The sequence below is a fragment of the Homo sapiens genome, chromosome 9 (genome assembly GCF_000001405.40).
Source record: "Homo sapiens chromosome 9, GRCh38.p14 Primary Assembly".
Taxonomy (NCBI): domain Eukaryota; kingdom Metazoa; phylum Chordata; class Mammalia; order Primates; family Hominidae; genus Homo; species Homo sapiens.
This window is the reverse complement of record NC_000009.12, coordinates 123831443-123849793: the sequence shown is the minus strand read 5'-3', so window position 1 is coordinate 123849793 and position 18351 is coordinate 123831443. Positions and strand designations below refer to the sequence as shown.

The 18351-nt window shown below is 35.9% G+C and overlaps 1 protein-coding gene and 2 pseudogenes across 28 annotated transcripts in view; 1 reads left to right on the top strand and 2 right to left on the bottom strand.

Annotated features, from left to right (window-relative positions):
• Positions 1-18351, top strand: part of DENND1A (DENN domain containing 1A) — a 550469-nt gene that overhangs the window by 80333 nt on the left and 451785 nt on the right. The window lies entirely within an intron of this gene.
• On the bottom strand, positions 5914-6845 carry PIGFP2 (phosphatidylinositol glycan anchor biosynthesis class F pseudogene 2; annotated as a pseudogene).
• Positions 7316-7372, bottom strand: LOC124902336 (uncharacterized; annotated as a pseudogene).

Sequence of the window (18351 nt, the reverse complement as noted above, 5' to 3'; positions counted from 1 at the left end):
TGGTATTTTGACCTCCCACAAATCACAATTGTTCTTAATGGCATCTAGAATGGTGAATTCTTTCCAGAAGGTTTTCAATTTATTTTGCCCAAACCCATCAGAGGAATAACTATATATTGCAGCTATAGCCTTATGTATTTCTTAGACTTCAAAGTCAAAATTACTCCTTGATCCAGGGGCTGCAGAATGGATGTTGTGTTAGCAGGCCTGGCAACAGCCTTCATCTCCTTGTATATCTCCATCAGAGCTGTTGGATGACCAGGTGCATTGTCTTTTTTTCTGAGTAGTAGGTTTCAACAGTGGGTTTAGACTATTTATTATGTTGGTGCAAAAGTAATTGTGGTTTGTGTCATTACTCAATGGCAAAAACCAGAATAATTTTTGCACCAACCTAAATAGTAATACATGCTATAAAATGATGTGCTGGCATCCAGGCTTTGTTCCATTTATAGAGCACAGGCAAAGTAGATTTAGCGTAATATTATACTTAAGAACCTTAGGATTTTCAGAATGGTCGATGAGCATTGGTTTGAATTTAAAGTCACCAGCTGCATTAGCTCCTAACAAAAGATTCATCCTGTCCTTTGAAGCTGGTTTTGACATCTCCTCTCTAGCTATGAAAGTCCTAGATGGCATTTTCTTCTAATATAAGGTGGTTTCATCTACATTGAAAATCTTTTGTTAGTGTAGCCACCTTTATCAATGATCTTAGCTTGAACTTCTGGATAACTTGTTGCAGCTTCTGCACCAGGATTTGCAGCTTCACCTTGCACTTTTTTATGTTATGGAGATGGCATTTTCCCTTAAACCTCATGAACCAACCTCTGCTAGTTTCAAACTCTCCTGCAGCTTCCTCACCTCTCTCAGCCTTCATAGAATTGAAGAGAGTCAGGGCCTTGATGTGGATCAGGCTTTTGTGTAAGGGAATGTTGTGGCTGGTTTGATCTGTCCAGACCACTAAAACTTTCATGTATCAGCAATCAGGCTGTTTCACTTTATTATCATTCATGTGTTACTGAAGTAGTACTTTTCTTTTTCTTCAAGAACATTTCCTTTGGATTCGCAGTTGGGCTGTTTGGTACAAGAAGACTAACTTTGAGCCTATCTTGACTTTCAATATGCCTTCGTCACTGCTAAGCTTAATTATGTTTAGCTTTTGATTTAAAGACATGCAACTCCTCCTTTCAGTTGAATACTCAGAGGCCATTGTAGGGTGAATTATGGGCTTAATGTCAATATTATTGTGTCTCAAGGAATAAGGAGGCCCAAGGAAGAGAAAGATGGGAGAATGGCTGGTTGGTGGAACAGTCAGAACACACACACATTTATTGACGAAGTTTGCCATCTTATATGGGCATGGTTTATGGCACCCCAAAACAATTACAACAGCAACATCAAAGATCATTGATCACTGATCATCATAACAGATATAATAATAATTTAAAGAGTTTGAAATATTGCAAAAAATTCCCAAAATGTGACACAGAGACAGGAAATGACTTGCTCTATCCAGGGTTGTCATATACTTTCAATTTGTTTTTTTTTTTTTTTTTTTTTTTTTTTTTAAAGCAGTATCTTTGAAGTGCAATAAAACAAACTATGCCCATACAAATCAACAGTTTCTGAGAAATTTTTGCATGTTTATTTAACTTTAATTGGCATCTTTACCCTCCTCCTGGACAATACAAGATTGTATATTGTTTTGACTTTAATCATTCCCCTCCTTGTTTATATGGTTTTTATTGTTGTGTATTTTACTTTAAACATGTAAGATATTATTGATTTTTTTATATAACCAATGCTTGTTTAGATTTATCTGTGTATTTTCTATTTTCTTTGTTCTTTGTTTTTTATTTTTTTGAGATGAAGTCTCGCTCTGTCGCCCAAGCTGGAGTACAGTGGGGCTATCTCGGCTCACTGCAACCTCCGCCTCCTGGTTCAAACAATTCTCCTGCCTCAGCTTCCTGAGTAGCTGGGATTACAGGTGCATGCCACCACGCCCAGCTAATTTCTGTATTTTCGGTAGAGACAAGGTTTTGCCATATTGGCCAGGCAGGTCTCAAACTCCTGCCCTCAAGTGATCTGGCCGCCTTGGCCTCCCAAAGTGCTGGGATTACAAGTGTGAGCCACTGTGCCTGGCCATTTTCTTTGTTCTTTATGTCTTCTTGCATCTCAGAGTTTTTTCATCTGGGCTAATCTTCTTGCTTGAATAATATTCTTTGTTAGTGGCAAATATCTTAGTTTTGTTTATCTGAAGATGTCCTTATTCTAACCTCATATTGGAGATGTCATTTTGTTGTCTTCTGGCTTCCTATATTGCTGTTGAAGTCCCTTTCCATTATAATTAATATTTTTGTGTCTTGTTTTCTAGTTTAGCAATGATATATGTCTAGCAGTGGAGTTTTCTTCTTATATATCTTGGTTAGGACCAGCTTTTTGAATCTGAGGACTTAGAACTTCTTTTTTTTTTGGAGCTTTGATTACACATATGTCTGACATTCTCTTTTTGTCCTTTACAGTTTTAAACCATTTTTTTTGTGTGTTTTCAATCTGTTTCTCTCTGATATATTCAATAACTTCTTCAAGTCTTTCTTCCAGTTTACTAGTTCTCTCTTCAGCTGTGTCTAATTGCTTTTAAAACCATCCATTTATGGCCAGGCACAGTGGCACACACCAGTAACCTAGCACTTTGGGAGGCCAATGTGAAAGGATTGCTTGAGGCCAGGAATTCAAGATCAGTCTGGGCAAATAGTGAGACCCTGTCTCTACAAAAATGAAAACAAACAAAAAACCCATTGATTTAGTGTTTAATTTTAATTATTTTTAATAAGTTTCTTGAGATATTCACAAACCATACAATTTGCCCATTAATAAAAGATATAATTAATGGTTTTGGTATATTATTTAAATTGTGGAGTAATATGTGTATATATAAAACAAAATTTGCCATTTTAAATATTTTTAAGTGTAAATTTAGTGGTATTAATTATGTTTAACACTGTTGTGCAGCCATCACCACTATCTGTTATTAAAATCTTTTCAACACCTCAAATAAAAACTTTGTAATCATTAACAATAATTTCCCATTTTCCCTTCCTTCCTAACCTCTGGTATCCTCTATCCTATTTTCTGTCTCTATGAATTTGCCTATTCTAGTTTCCTCATATAAGTGGAATCATATATTATTTGTCCTTTTCTGTCTGGTTTATTTCACTTACCCTAATGTTTTCAAGCTTTATTCATGTTGTAGTATGTACAGAACTTCATTCCTCTTTATGGCTGAATATTTATCCATTAGATGTATATACTGCATGTTGTTTATCCATTCATCTGTTGATGGACAATTTGGTTATCTCCACTTTTCAGCAATTGTGAATAATGCTGCAATCAACAATGTCATTCATTGTTGGTATATGTTTGCATTTCTGCTTTCAATTCCTTTGGGTATATACCTAGGAATGGCATTGCTGGATCATATGGTAATTCTATTTTTTAGCTTTTTGAGTAACTGCCAAGCTGTTTTCCATAACAGCTGCACCATTTTATATAGCCACCAGCAATGTGTAAGGTTCCAGTTTCTCTACATTCTTGTCAGTGGATACTGTTGTCTGTCTCTTTTATTATAGCCATTCTAGTGGGGATGAAGTGACATATCATTGTTATTTTGATTTGCCTTTCTCTAATGCCTAATTATATTGAGCATCTTTTAGTGTGCTTCTTGTATATTTTCTGTGGAGAAATACCTATCCAGTGACTGGGTCGTTTAAAAAATTACCAGGTTATAAGGGTCCTTTATATATTCTAGATACAAACCTGTTATCAGATATGTGACTTGCAAGTACTTTCTCCCACTTTGTAGGTTAACTTTTCTCTTTCTTGATTGTGTCACCTGAAACAGAAGTTTTCATTTCAGTGAAGTCCTATTTATCTAATATTTCTTTTGTTGTTTGTTCTTTAGTATGGTACCTAAGAAACCATTGCCCATCCTAAAGTTACAATGATTTATTTCTGTGTTTTCTTCTAAGTTTGTTTGTTTGTTTGTTTATTAGGTTTTAGCTCTTACATTTGGGTCTATAATCCATTCCTTTTTTATTCCTCTTTTTTTTTTTTTTTTTTTTTTTTTGGAGACAGGTTCTCACTTGGTCACCCAGGCTGGAATACAGTGGCATGAACTTAGCTCACTGCAACCTCAACTTCCCAGGCTCAAACAATCTTCCCACCTCCGCTTTGCAAGTAGCTGGGACTACAGGTGTATGCCACCACACCCACTTAATTTTTTGGGGGGTGGGTAGGGAGAGATGAGGTTTTGCTATTTTGGCCAGGCTGGTCTTGAACTCCTGGCCTCAAGTGATTCTTCTGCCTCAGCTTCCCAAAGTGTTGGGATTAAAGGCATGAACCAGTATCCCCAGCCTACAATCCAAATCAAGTTGATTTTTATATATGCTTATAAGGAAGGAGTCTAACTTTATTCTTTCAAACGTAGATAGTCAATTGCCCCTGCACCTTCTGTTGAAAAGTATTAATTCTCCATTGAGTTGTTTTGGTTTCCTTGTTGATTTTTTTTTTGTTTTTTGGAGACACAGCCTTGCTCTCTTGCCCAGGCTGGAGTGTAGTGGCACAACCTTGACTCACTGCAACCTCTGCCTCCCGGGTTCAAGAGATTCTTGTGTCTCAGCCTCCTGAGTAGCTGGGACTACAGGTGCGTGCCAGCATGCCCAGCTAATTTTTTGTATTTTTGGTAGAGATGGTGTTTCGCCATGTTGGCCAGCCTGGTCTTGAACTACTGGCTTCAAGTGATCTGTCCACCTCAGCCTCCCAAAGTGCTGGGATTACAGGCATAAGCCACCGTGCCTGGCCCCTTGTTGAAAATTAATTGACAATTGTAATTGACAATTGCAAATATTTATTTCTGGACTCTGAATCCTGTTCATATCCTAATGCTGTACTATACTGTCTTGATTACTGTAGATTTGTAGTAAATTTTAAAATTGAGAAGTATGAGTCCTCCAATTTTGTTCTTTTTAAAGATTGTTTGACTATTCTGGGTCCCTTGCATCTCCATATGAATTTTAGTATTAGCTTATCAATTTCTGCAAAAAGCCCAGCTGGGATTTTGGTAGGGATTTAATTGAATCTGTAGATTCATTTGGGGAGGATTGTCAGCTTAACAATATTGTGTTGCAATCCATGAATATAGGATATCTTTCCATTTATTAAGGTAATGTTTAGGGTTTTTTTCCCCATAATGTTTTGTAGTTTTCAGAGTATAAGTTTTGCAATTCCCTTGTTAAATTTATTCCTATTTTTCTTAATCTTTTTGATGTTATTGTAAATGGAAATTTTGAATTTCATTTTTGTATTGTTCTTTGTTAGTGTATAGAAATAGAATTGATTTTTAAAAATATTGATCTATTATCCTGCAGATTTGATGAACTAGTTTATTAGTTCTAATAGGTTTTTAGTGAATTTCTTAGGATTTTCTTTGTGTAAGAGTATGTAATGTACAAATCAAGATAGTACTACTTCTTTCTTTCTATTCTTGATGACTTTTATTTCTTTTTCATACCTAATTACCCTGGCTAGAACCTCCAATACAGTGTTGAATAGAAGTGGCAGAAATGAATATTCTTTTCTTCATCCGCATCTTAAAGAGAAACATTTAGTCTTTTGGCATAATTATGATATTAATTATATCATTTTTTTAGATGCCCTTTATCAGCTTGATGAAGTTCTGTTTTGTTTCTAGTTTGTTTAATTTTTTTTATTATGAAAGGATATTGGATTTTGTCAGATGCTTTTTCTGTGTCTTTTGAGATGATTGTGTGATTTTTGTTCATCATTCTCTAGATACGGCTTATTACATTAATCTATTTTTGGACGTTAAACCAACCTTGCATTCTTGTTTTTAAAAATTCTATCGTAAGTACTTTATTTTAACTAGAAGATACAATCTCCAAGGAGTTTCATGGTTTAAAAAGCTACAATTACATCATGTTGTAATTACGTAAAACACAGTGCTGTAATGGAACTACTTGACTTTGATTATATACATTTTTGCACAGCCCTATGGAATATATGCAAAGGAATATTTTCTCCCTTTGCTCCAATTAATTGTTCTTGTATAGAAATTGCTTTATATTCCAGTATATCCAGAATGGTAAAATAACAAGTCCATCCATGTTGCTAAAGGTCACTCCAAGCATATAGGAGATGGGCCATACCTGCCATAGTCTTTCTCCACTCAGTGGTATTGGCAGTGCTTCAAGTTATGCTCCTACAAAACTAGAAATTGTAATGATCTGGAGACTATTCTCCCAAATGGCTGTAACACCATTTCTACTGAAAACTCTAAGCTATGCTTTTGAGATTTGGTTCTAACAAACATAAGGTACAGTGGTAAAAGTAGACAAAATGACTGCAAATAAAAATGTTTCCAACACCAACTCTTTTAGCTCCATATAGAACAAAAATTACATGGAAGGAGAAACAGGACAAAAGAAGGTAGATACAGCATTTCAAAAATCAAGTTACCTTGTGTGATAATGAACTTTTTTAGGGGATGCATTTGGTTTCACTACTAAATATAATACTAGATTGACAGCAGCTACAAAACCAGAACATATGCACAACCATGTCAAGTGTGTTTACAATATTGAGAAGTTCTCCAAGAAGAATGATGGAATGAAGACACTTAGGATAATTGAAAATATGCATAAAATATGGGTATAAAGTAGTTTTTTGATGTCAGTATCTTTCATGGTATTTTCTTGAGTGGCTATCTCTCTCGCTTGGGGAAGGGACTTGGGGAACTACTGCATCCTACTATCATGTGGGAAGGGCTGTCCTGGCCCTAATGCAGGCACCCAACCTTGCATTCTTAGGATAAATCTCACTTGGTCATGGTGTGTATTCCTTTTTTTGTGTTGCTGGATTTGGTTTGCTAGTATTAATATATTGAGTATTTTTGCATTTTTAGTTTTCTTATATTTGTTTGCTTTTGGTATCAGCATAATACTGGCCTTATAGAATGAATTGGAAAGTTTTTCTTCATATTTTAGTTTTTGAAAGAGTTTATGAAGAATTGGTATTCATTCTTCTTTAAATGTTTGGTAGAATTCTCCAGTAAAGTCATCTGAGTTCATCTGTTTTGGTGGGAAGTTTTCAAATTAGTAATTCAATCTCTTGCTATAGGTCTATTCAGATTTTCTGTTTCTTCTTAAATCAGTTTTGGTAGTTTGTATTTTTCTAGAGATTTGTCCATTTCATATATCTAATTCATTGGCACACATTTGTTCATAGCATTCTCTCTCTCTCTTTTTTTTTTCTGCTAAACCAGAAAACCTAGACAAATTCTGAAAGAGCTGTAACATTAATATTTTCTTGCTCCTCTGTATTTCTGCAAATATGGTCCTCATGGTTTTTTCTTTTACTTCTCACCTCTCATACATTGTACTTGCAGCCACTGCAAAGTAATTGTCATTTTCAGATGCTGTTTCTTTGTCTGAAATGTCTTTTCTCTTGCCTCATTGGAGGAATTGGCATTTATCTTCAAGATAATTTTCTTCATGCTGCCTTCCCTGATTGTCCAGACAGACTCAGTCTTTCCTTCCTTTGAATTCTGGTGTACTTCTACACATCTGTCAACATACTTGTTTCTTTCAAAGGGCAGCTGAGCATCCTGTTCACCTTCTTTTCCCTAATGAGAAACATGGGACTTAATACAAATTGTTTCTTGGGAATTGCATGTTGAATAAATGAATGAGGTATGAAACATTTCTTCTGAGCTCTCAACCTGTTTGGATGCCTGAAAAGTATCTGAAATTCAAAATGTCTGAATTCTAACTCATGATCTGCTCATTAAACTGAATGAAGCTCTGGTCCCCTTCCACTGAGCAGCACATTTAAAAAATCAGGTATGCAAACTAAAAACCTACTGCCTTCATCCTGGTCACCTGCCTTCCTGCTCACCCTCTATATTCAATATATCAGAAAAATTTGATTGATTTACCTAAATATCTTTAAAAACTAGGTATTTCTTCTCAACTATCATTGTCCTAAACCTCTTTCTCACCTTCCCCCACCCACCCTGCACCAATTCCTTCAGGTCTCACTTCAGACATTAAATCATCCTTAGGGGGGAACCTTTTCAGATCCCTAAAGTAAGCTTGTTCTTACACTGTATAGTCTTGTGGCAGTTATCATAGCTTATAGTTACATTACTTGTGCAGTTGTTAGTTTGCCTGAGCTTCTGTACTGGACCTTAAACTCTGTGAGGGTAGTGATCACCCAGTATTTTCTTCACCACTGTATGACCAGATCTCAATATTAAGAAGATTTAGTGAATATTTATGGAATGAACAAACACTGAAAATTAGGTAATTTATGTGGAAATGCCTTTAAAATGAAAATTACTGGAGAAACATTATTTTGATGATCTCTTAACATTTAAAATAACTGTGATTAGTTTATTGAATTTATAATTTTTTGTTTGAGTGAAGAGAAATTCTAAATTCTCATGGTATTTAAGGGTGCATCATCTTGGATAGATCCACTTATTGCTGATTAGTCTTTGTTTACTGGAATTATGGAATTGGTATAACAATAACAAAGTGTACGGTAGGGTCTCTCTGGAAAGCACTATACTACTTTCTAAATGACATCACCTTGGTAATTATCACATTTGGTTTAAGATTTCACTTAGCACAAAATGGGTTGCAGAAAGTCAAACTCTCGTATATATTTAAGTAAAGGTGATGACTTTCTTCACAATAGGGCAGAGATGAAATAGCTTCCACATTTGTTATTCTGAATGGAGCCTTGGGATGAAATTCCAAGCAGCAGAATGCCACTTAACATTCTGCATGCTATTTTGCTCTTTAGTAGCATAATTGTAAAATGAGGCAATAAAACCAGAAAAGATATAATATTTATACCTGTGTAGGCACTTCACATGATAAAATGTCACACGAGACTGTTTACTCCATGCTGGTTATTTGGATAACGCCCCACCTGCCTAGTAACAGGCGGTGCTGAGTCTTGCATAAATCTTGGAAAGAAGGTTAGGGTTAATATAGTGAGTTCTTCAGTAGGAAAAAAAATACAGCATATGTGATAATAATAATGGCGACTCTTTGATTACTATTTTTGTACCGGCACTGTGCTAGGCCCTTGGGGACAGAGTGTGACAAAGAGGGAGATAATATAAGTGAGTACCTTTCATGTGTCAGCTATTCTGCTATACATTTTACTTACAATATTTGTAAAACTTATAATAACTCTGCCAGGTAGGTGGTGTTATCTCCATGTATATATGACTGATTCTTGTTTATCTCATAAAAAATTCTAACGACCTCATTGGAGTTCTGTTATAATTATCATGTTTAAACTTTGGTGCTTTTTTTTAAGTTTAAATAGTCTTTTTTTTTTGAGACAAAAAAAATTAATGAGAAGAGACAAAGAAACATCAAAGAGCTTTTTCCTCTGATTGCTGTGTTAGAACTTTTGCCTGAAAATAGGTTACATTCCTTCTGTTTTCAGCTGAATCCTCATTAACTTTACATTTTAATGATGTCCAGGGCAAATTACACCATTTATGGTCAGTACCTTAAAGGGATGCTTAAAGGGGACTTAAAAAAATTTTTTTTGAGTGGTGGATGTATTTACTCCAGGAATATAAATTGATCCAGAATTCTTGAAAAAAAAAAAAAATAGACAAAAACACTTGAAACATGGGGTCGATGTTCCATTTCTAACTATTATAACAATTTAATTCAAAAGAAATTATTTTCACCTTAAAGTAAATTAATCATTAAAGAACATTTATAATATTTGGGAGTATGCAACTGGAACCAGTGTCCTACATTTATTTTTGAAAATAGTTTCGGTTTCTCATTTACTTGGATTTAAATTCAATTCTACTGCTTAGCTTCAGAAATAATTCATAGGTGGTAGATGCTCAATAGGAATAAATGAAGACAGCTTCTCCCAGTTATGAAAAAAACAAGGGTGATTGAAATGCTAATATGTTGATAGACAGATTGTATTTGCACAAGAATGAGGGAATCTGCTGTAAGGTGGAACTCTTCACAGGATTCCAAATTATTCAATTTAAAAGAACAATATGAACTGTGGAGCTGTGCTTTCATTGTAAGCTTTGAATGCTTAATTATTATTAGATGATAAATTGGAATAAAGTGTCGTGTTGTGTCAAATACTGTTTATTTCCTTAACAATTATTGGATAAGTGGATTAAGGGAAATTGGCCTGTCTGTCGCGGAAACTGTAATTATGAGAATGCCCCATCTAACATCATGTATTTTATAAGGTTTGTACTCCTGTTTTTTAAATGTGTTTAATTGAATCCCTTCTGTGTGCCAGGCAGTGGGCTAATGTCCTTGTTAAGGCGTTTTTGAATACAAGGGGTGGAATTTCACTAAAACTAGCTCAGGAAGGGCAGGGATAGAGGTGGAGAGGTCTGTTGTACAGTGAAGGACAGGAAGCAAAACCAGCTGGGCTTCATGAGGACCAATTGGAACCGGAAAGTCATGCACCAGGGTGGCTTCATCTCTTTCATCATGGCTTTGCCTCTGCTGGCTTCCTTCGTTCACCACTTATCTTGGTAATGGTTCAAAGTGGTCTATATGATCTTTCAAGCTTGGCTTCCCACCGTTAACAGACACTTTTTGTCTGTACCCAAGGTCGATTCGAGCGTGTGGCTCAGCCCAGACCTGGATGGTCCCCGTGGCCTCCAGGTGCTCTGCTGCACTGCCCCTTCCGCGTGAGCAGAGTGAAACATGTCTGCATGGAAAAAGATATGGCTCTTGCCCATGTGTGGCTTTTTGTGGAGATGATAATACACCTAAAAAGATTATTTCTACTTAAATGTGCTATGGACTTCCCTATAAATAAAATATTTCCGTTATCTGCTGTATTTGCAAACTGAGGAAACAGTGGGAGGGTTTGGGCACTGCCACTGAGTGAGGGTGAAGTGATTTTCTTTCAGAATGAGGTTTTCCTAGGTAGGGCTTCCTGAGGGTCTAAATCCATAATTGGATCCTACTTGCCACTGTACAAGGAAACTGAATGTAGAAGGAAAAAGAAATTTTCTTTGTTAGGTTTTCTTTCCAGGTACCGCCTTGAATGATTGATTGGCCAACATATCTAATGCAATTTAAGGACATTTGGGAAATCTTTGGGTCTGATCTATTGTTACTAATGATTCTTGATATGGCTATTTTTTTTAAGTTGTCCAAATTTCAGTTTTCTAAGGATTCAGTTAAAGCACTAGCAGATTCTGCAATTGCTCCTCAAGTATCATCATTTTTCTTATAACTGAGTATTGAAATGGAGCAAAGCTCGTGGCTGTAACTTAACGTTTGTTAAGCTTCTATTTGCTTTATATATATGTATATACATATTATATATATACACGCACATATACACATACACAGACATATACATATATACACAGATGAACAAGTATGTGTGTATTTTTTCTTATTCTTCCTGGAGCCCATAAGAGATTAATTATTGTCCTCATTTTATAAGTGTTACAAACCAACGCACAGAAAGATGAAGTAACTTGCCTTAAGGTAATACAGCTAGTAAGTAGTGGATTGTTGATTCGATTCTAGGTCTGTACTGTGCTGCCTGTGTCTATAATAGCTCTGCTTAAGGTTAATGGTTAGGTTGTGTTTCTGGAATGCTCAACTTCTCTGTTGGAACAAGGTTTTGCATCAGTATGGGTTGGTTAAAAGCGTAAATTCTGGTTCTGGTACAGCCAGTTTATAAGCTGTGTGACGATAGGATGTACAAGTTGTTTCGTATTTTTAATTTATAAAATGGGATTATTAATGGGTCCCATCATAGAGGTTTCATAGGAGGAATGAAAGAAATAGTACAGTCTTTTTGCCACAACATGTGCAGGAGCAGTGTCAGAATAGTGTAGAAATTGCATTGGTTTATATGTTTTATGCCATCAGGTTGGATTAGCTGAAGTCAAAGTAGACTAGCACTGTTTTTCTTGGTCTTTACATTTGGGCAGGTTCTCCACTTTCTCAGTTTTTTTCCTTTTCTTTAGGAAAAGAGGTGCTGACCTTGAGGTTTAGGTTGAGATTGCCATGATAGAGTCAGGGCTCCCAAATTGTGCTTTTAGCCTTCTTTATATAGTGTTGAACAATAATTTTAAAATAGTTTGGTGTCTCAGTTTTCAGAAAAACTACATATGTATAACGTTTTTATTCATACCTTATCCCTGGATAGTAGTATCTGGTTGAACAGTAATTTTAAAATAGTTTGGTTTTTCAGTTTTCAGAAAAACTACATATATATAATGTTTGTATCCATACCTTACCCCTGGATAGGTATCTGATTGTTTCTGGGTTATGCTAATGCAACAGGACTATTTTGAAGTTGTGTTTTCTCCTTTAACTTGACCTGGTTTGTTGAAAGATGGTCGATCCTCTTGGGGGCAGGCAAGGGGGTGCTAATTGTGAAGTATCTTTGTTGAGTGATGAGACACTGGTGTCTGTGAATGTAGTGGAATGGTGGGATCGTTTGATTATTCTAATTGCAGACAATCTAGGAACATAGGAAAGCAGCATGCAAAACATAAGATGCACAGGCTTTATCCTCGGTTGGGAGGAGTTTAAATCCTGACCCTTTCTTGGCCAGTAAACTGACTTGGACAAGGCACTTGACCTTTTTGGATCTCAGTTTTCTCATCAGTAATATGGAATTACTATCCCCTTCCTATTTTATTATCTTGAGAATTTAATGGCATAAGAAATGTAATAATATGAGGTATTCAGAGTACTTTCCTCGTAGTAGGTATTCAATATATGTTTAGTAAGGGAACTATAGAAGATAACAAATGTAGTTGTATTGTAGCCTATTTTATGCAATAAATATTCCAAAACGTTTTATATTACTATTTTTGTAAATTATCTGTTAAATGAAACAGAAAGGGAATGAACTTCTTTTGAAAAAGTCTGGGAAATTTTGTAATGTGAATAAACAACTTTTATTTGTAAGATAACATTAAAAATTATTTATAAAAATGTATACCTGTATACATTTTTCTGTATAGAAATTTGTTATATGCAGTAACATTTTAGTATTTCCTCAAATTTGAAATGAATATCATGTGATATTAAGTCACTTAAAAATTCTCTAATATGAGATATGAAAAACTTAGACTCAAACTATAATATATTTTACTTAACCACCTTTTTGGCTACCTTTCTTTTGGTATTTTATTATATATCCTTTTTATTTTTGTAAAAAAGTATATTAGCTTTTTTCTTCTTAACCGTATTTTTCCCCTCTATAATTTGACTGAAGAAATGAACTTGTGTTACTTTTTCTCTCATATTAAGCCAAGTCTGGTGAATAAAATACCCATAGTCAAGAAATTTGTGTGAGCTTGGCTGCACTGTGAACTCCCTGATTTCCTTCAGTCTTGTTAATTCATATGTGAGCCCAGGGGTATTATTGCCCATTAGCCTTTCCTCATAGTTATTTTATGAAAGTGCACAATTAATGTGAGAGTGTCGTGAAACCTTTGGAGACAGTGCCCTGGACATACTGAGGTAAATTTTGTTCAAAATCAACAGATAGCACCCTACTGTAATCTGCTAACAGCTTGTTTATCTAATTGTCAATAAAATTTCTGGTTCAGGAAAGAATTTATGTTATCCTGAAACTTAACATACCATGTCCCCGGAACCAAGGAGAAATAATAATAGTAACTGCCAAACACCTACTGTGTGTCAGACACCCTGCTGGATACTTTACACACAGATCTCTCATTCTCAAATTCTGAGATAGCCCTTCTTCCTCATTTTATTGAGGGAGGTTGAGAAAACAACCCCTAACCATCTCACTTTTGCCAGGCTTCATAGCTGAAGCTCTCCCCACTTTTATATAGCATATATACCATATACCACTTTTTACCATATCCTCAGGAAGCCCAAAGGACCTAACAGAAGTCAGAATGTATTTTGATGGAAAGTTAGTGATTCTTTTCTACTAATTTTTTTCTATCGGAGTGAACGAAGTGTGTGGTGGAGGAGTGTGTTTTGAGAGTTTTTGCAGTAGAAAGGTACTCAGGTTTTTTCTTTTTTTTTTTTTTTTCCTGGAAATCAAGAGGAAAATGCAGATATCCAAGATAAAGAGTTAGGTAAACGAATAGTAGTTTGTGGATAGGGTCTAGATGAACTAGACTTCTGGAAGGATCCTTTGATTTTTGAAATGTATTATTATGATTGGATAGTTGTGTGTGTGGCAGTGGTGAGGGCTGTGATGAGTGTGCTTGACCATTATAAAACTACCTTCATTACTAGAGGGACACAGATTCCCCCCACCTCTACCATGATTGTATTGTTGAAAGCCGCCTTTTATCATTTTGCTGCCATATGTGTTTGTGAAAATCAGCTGCGTTGTAAAAATTCTTACTTCCTGGAAACCAGAAACCCATTCAGCTAGTGTCCCTACCCTGACCACTTCCTCTTCGTTATTTCTAAATGACAGTGCTATTCTGGTAGCATTCCAGGCGTTCATCTAGCTAGGATTCCTTTTTCACGTTTGCTATTTGGTGCATTTTCTCCTGTTTTATTTGGTTTCATTGTCCTGATTAGTTCACCGAGTATAATAGAAGAGACATTTGCTTTTTTTTTTTTTTTTCCCCTCTAAAGCAAGTTATTTTAGAGGGAGAGTTTACCAGTGATAAGAGCTGTTTATGTCCTGAGCGATTGATTTGTAATTAATGTTGCCTGGGCTCTTGCCTGTTGGCAGAATTGGTAACAGCTTGCAGTATTTTTTAAATTCTCTTTTCTTTTTGGTATTTTGACAATGTCATTCATATCTCATGAAAAACTACCTCAGACAGGTTAAATGTGTTAAAACATGGAACGAAAAGGATGGAAGGAGACCCAGTGCTGCCTAGAAACCTTGATCTTTTGCCAAAGTATTTAAACAATTTAGTGTTTTGGTTTCCTAGCTCCAAGCTGCTTCTCAAATCCCTTGCTAATTAATCCAGTTAATGCTTTGTAGACTTACTATATGCGGTGCTTTGGCTTGCTCGTCTATCATTGAGAAGTCCGTTTTGTTTCTTGGAGAAAACCTAAGCTCTGTTCTGGTGCAGAGCTATATACAGGGCTTATGACGTGTGAGTAGTTTGGGGCCTTTAAAACCCGTATGCATGTGTATCTATGTAAGCATATATATACGTGTTCTCTGCATTTCATAGTCCTTAGGCTTAAAATTTTAAAATAAAGACACAAAGTAGAAAATAGAAATCAGGTATTTCACACCAAACCAATGAACTGATTGAAAGCTCCCTCTGCTACTTGCTTTGTTAATTGTGCAAATTATTTGATGTCTCTAAGCCTCAATTTCCTTATCTGTAAAATGGGGGAAGATAATTTATTCCTCCTCATAGTATTGTTGTGAGGATGAAGTGAGTTTCTTATATACTTAGCAAGTGTCCAGAACACAGTAAAGCTCAGTAAATGATGACTGCTTTTATGATTCTGTTGTGACCCTTATGTGTTGAATAAATTAACTTCTTTTGGTGCTTGCTGAATTGTGGAGGAGGTAGATTCCTTTTATCTATTTTCTTTTGGCAAAGGTATCAAATGTCTCAATTTGTATCAAGGATTTAAAAATCAAGCATTTGTTCATTTAACAGTAGTGATAATAAAAAATAGACAACTGTATTCTATTTGAGCCTGTTTTTTTTGAGACAGAGTCTTGCTCTTTCGCCAGGCTGGAGTGCAGCGGCGTGATCTCAGCTTCCTGCAACCCCCGCCTCCCAGGTTCAAGCAATTCTCCTGCCTCAGCCTCCCGAGTAGCTGGGACTACAAGCATGTGCCACCATGCCCAGCTAATTTTTGTATTTTTAGAGAGGGGGTTTCACCGTGTTGGCCAGGATGGTCTCGATCTCTTGACCTTGTGATCTGCCCATGTTGGCCTCCCAAAGTGCTGGGATTACAGTCATGAGCCTCTGTGCCCGGCCTGAAGCTGGTTTTAAGACCCATTGATGTGAGTTATCAATACAAAAGATCTTTCTAAAGTCTGAAAGGTGAATATCTCTCATTTGCTTACTAGAAAGCTTAGGTGCAGAAAAATATATAGGCTATTTCTTTTTCCCAGTTAAATAATTACATCAAACATGGAGGCACATTCAGGACTATTTACTGCTAGTGAAGCTCATGATGACTTTTTTTTACTAACCATTTCTGAAATTCATGTATTATGCCTAAAAAAGCTCAGAGTAGGTCTTGGGAATTAGGAATTGGCAGGGTTCTCACTTGATCATTATAGGAAATTTCACATTTCTCCCCCCTAAGGAATTTGTGGAGAAAAAAATTGTCTGCCAAAAAGTGTAAAATTCTGATTTTTTTTCCAGCTATTTGTTTTTGTTTTTATGTTTAGAAAAACTTTTTTATAACATGAAAAACAGGAACAAACAGGAAAATGCAGAAATACAAGTTAACAGTTTGATGGATTATCACAAAGTTAAAACATCCAGGTCAAGACATAGAACATTAGTAAGCATCTTGCCAGCCATCCTTATGTGTCTTTCCAAACACCATTCCCTCAATTAGAGAACCATTACCTTTTTGTTTTTTTTTCTTTCGTTTCCTTTTTTTTTTTTTTTTTTTTTTTTTTGAGATGAGGTCTCACCATCGTTCAGACCGGAGCGCAGTGGCGCAATCATAGCACACTGTAGCCTCAAACTCCTGGGCTCAGAGGACCCTCCTACTTCAGCTTCCTGAGTAGTCGTGACTACAGGCATGGACCGCTCCCCCGGACCCCCAACCTGGCTAATTTCCTGCTGTGCTGCCCAGGCTGGTCTTGAACACCTGGGTTCAAATGGTCTTCCCACCTCAATCTTCTGAGTAGCTATGATTACAGTGTGAGCAAATGTGCCCAGCTAAAACCATTATCTTAACTTCTAATAGCATTGATCATTTTTACCTGTTGTTCAACATATATACATGGAGTTATATAGATGGAGTCATGAGTGTATTTAATATTTTACTTGGTTTCTTTTGCTCAACAATTGTATTTGTGAGATTATCCTTGTGTGCACCTGTAGTTTGCTCCTTTTCATTGCTATACACTATTCTGTAATATGAATATGCCACAATCGATCCATTCTACTGTCTGTAGAGATTTATGTTTCCCCTTTGGTTTTGGTTATTTCAAATAATGGAGCTATGACATTATAGTAAATATATCTGGTGTTTGTATACTCCCACTTTTGTTTGGTATGTACATAGGAGTGAAATTTCTGGGTCATATTGTTTGTGTATGTTTAGCATAAAATGCCAAGTTTTCCAATGTGGTGGAACTGATTTGCATCCTCATCTGCTGTGTGAGCTCCTCTTGCTCTATATCATCACCAACACTTACTATTAAAGGTCTTTTTAATTTTAGCCATTCTGAATGAATGGGTAGTGTATTTTGCTTTGGTTTTAATTTGCATTTTCCTGATTACCCATGAAGTTGAACATCTTTTAATGTACCTGCTGGTTATTTGGCTATGTTGTTTTGTTGTTATTTTTAAGGAATTCTTTGTATACTCTAGATACAGTTTCTTTGGTTATGTGTTATAATTTACCTTGTACTCTGTGCCTTATCTTTCCACTCTTTTAAAAGTTAATATTATTTTTAATTGACATCATAATTTTATATATTTATAGAGTACAAAGTGATGTTTTGATATATGTGTACAATGTGGAATGATTAAATCAAGTGAATCAACATGTCCATCACCTCACTTATTATTGTTATTGTTTTTTTTTGGAGATGGAGTCTCACTCTGTTGCCCAGGCTGGAGTGCAGTGGCATGATCTCAGCTCACTGCAACCTCCGCCTCCAGGGTTCAAGAGATTCTCCTGCCTCAGCCTCCCGAGTAGCTGGGATTACAGGCACTCACCACCATGCCTGTCTCATTTTTGTACTTTTAGTACGGACAGGGTTTCACCATGTTGGCCAGGCTGGTCTTGAACACCTGACCTCAAGTGATCTGCCCACCTCAGCCTCCCAGAGTGCTGAGATTATTATTTTGCCATATGAATCTTCAGTAGGCATAGCACTATTTATTGCAAAGATCATCCTTTCTCTACTTTTCCACATTGCCACTTTCATTAATCAAATGTCCATGTATGCAGGGGTCTCTTCCTGGTCTCTTTATCTATTTTACCACTACCAGCTGAATGAATTATTGAAGCTTTATAATAAGTTCTAATACCTAGTAGACTAAGTCTTCCCATTTTGTTATTGTTAAAAGTTTTTTCTTGGTTATTATTGGTCTTTGTAGTTTCATATAATTTTTGAATTGGT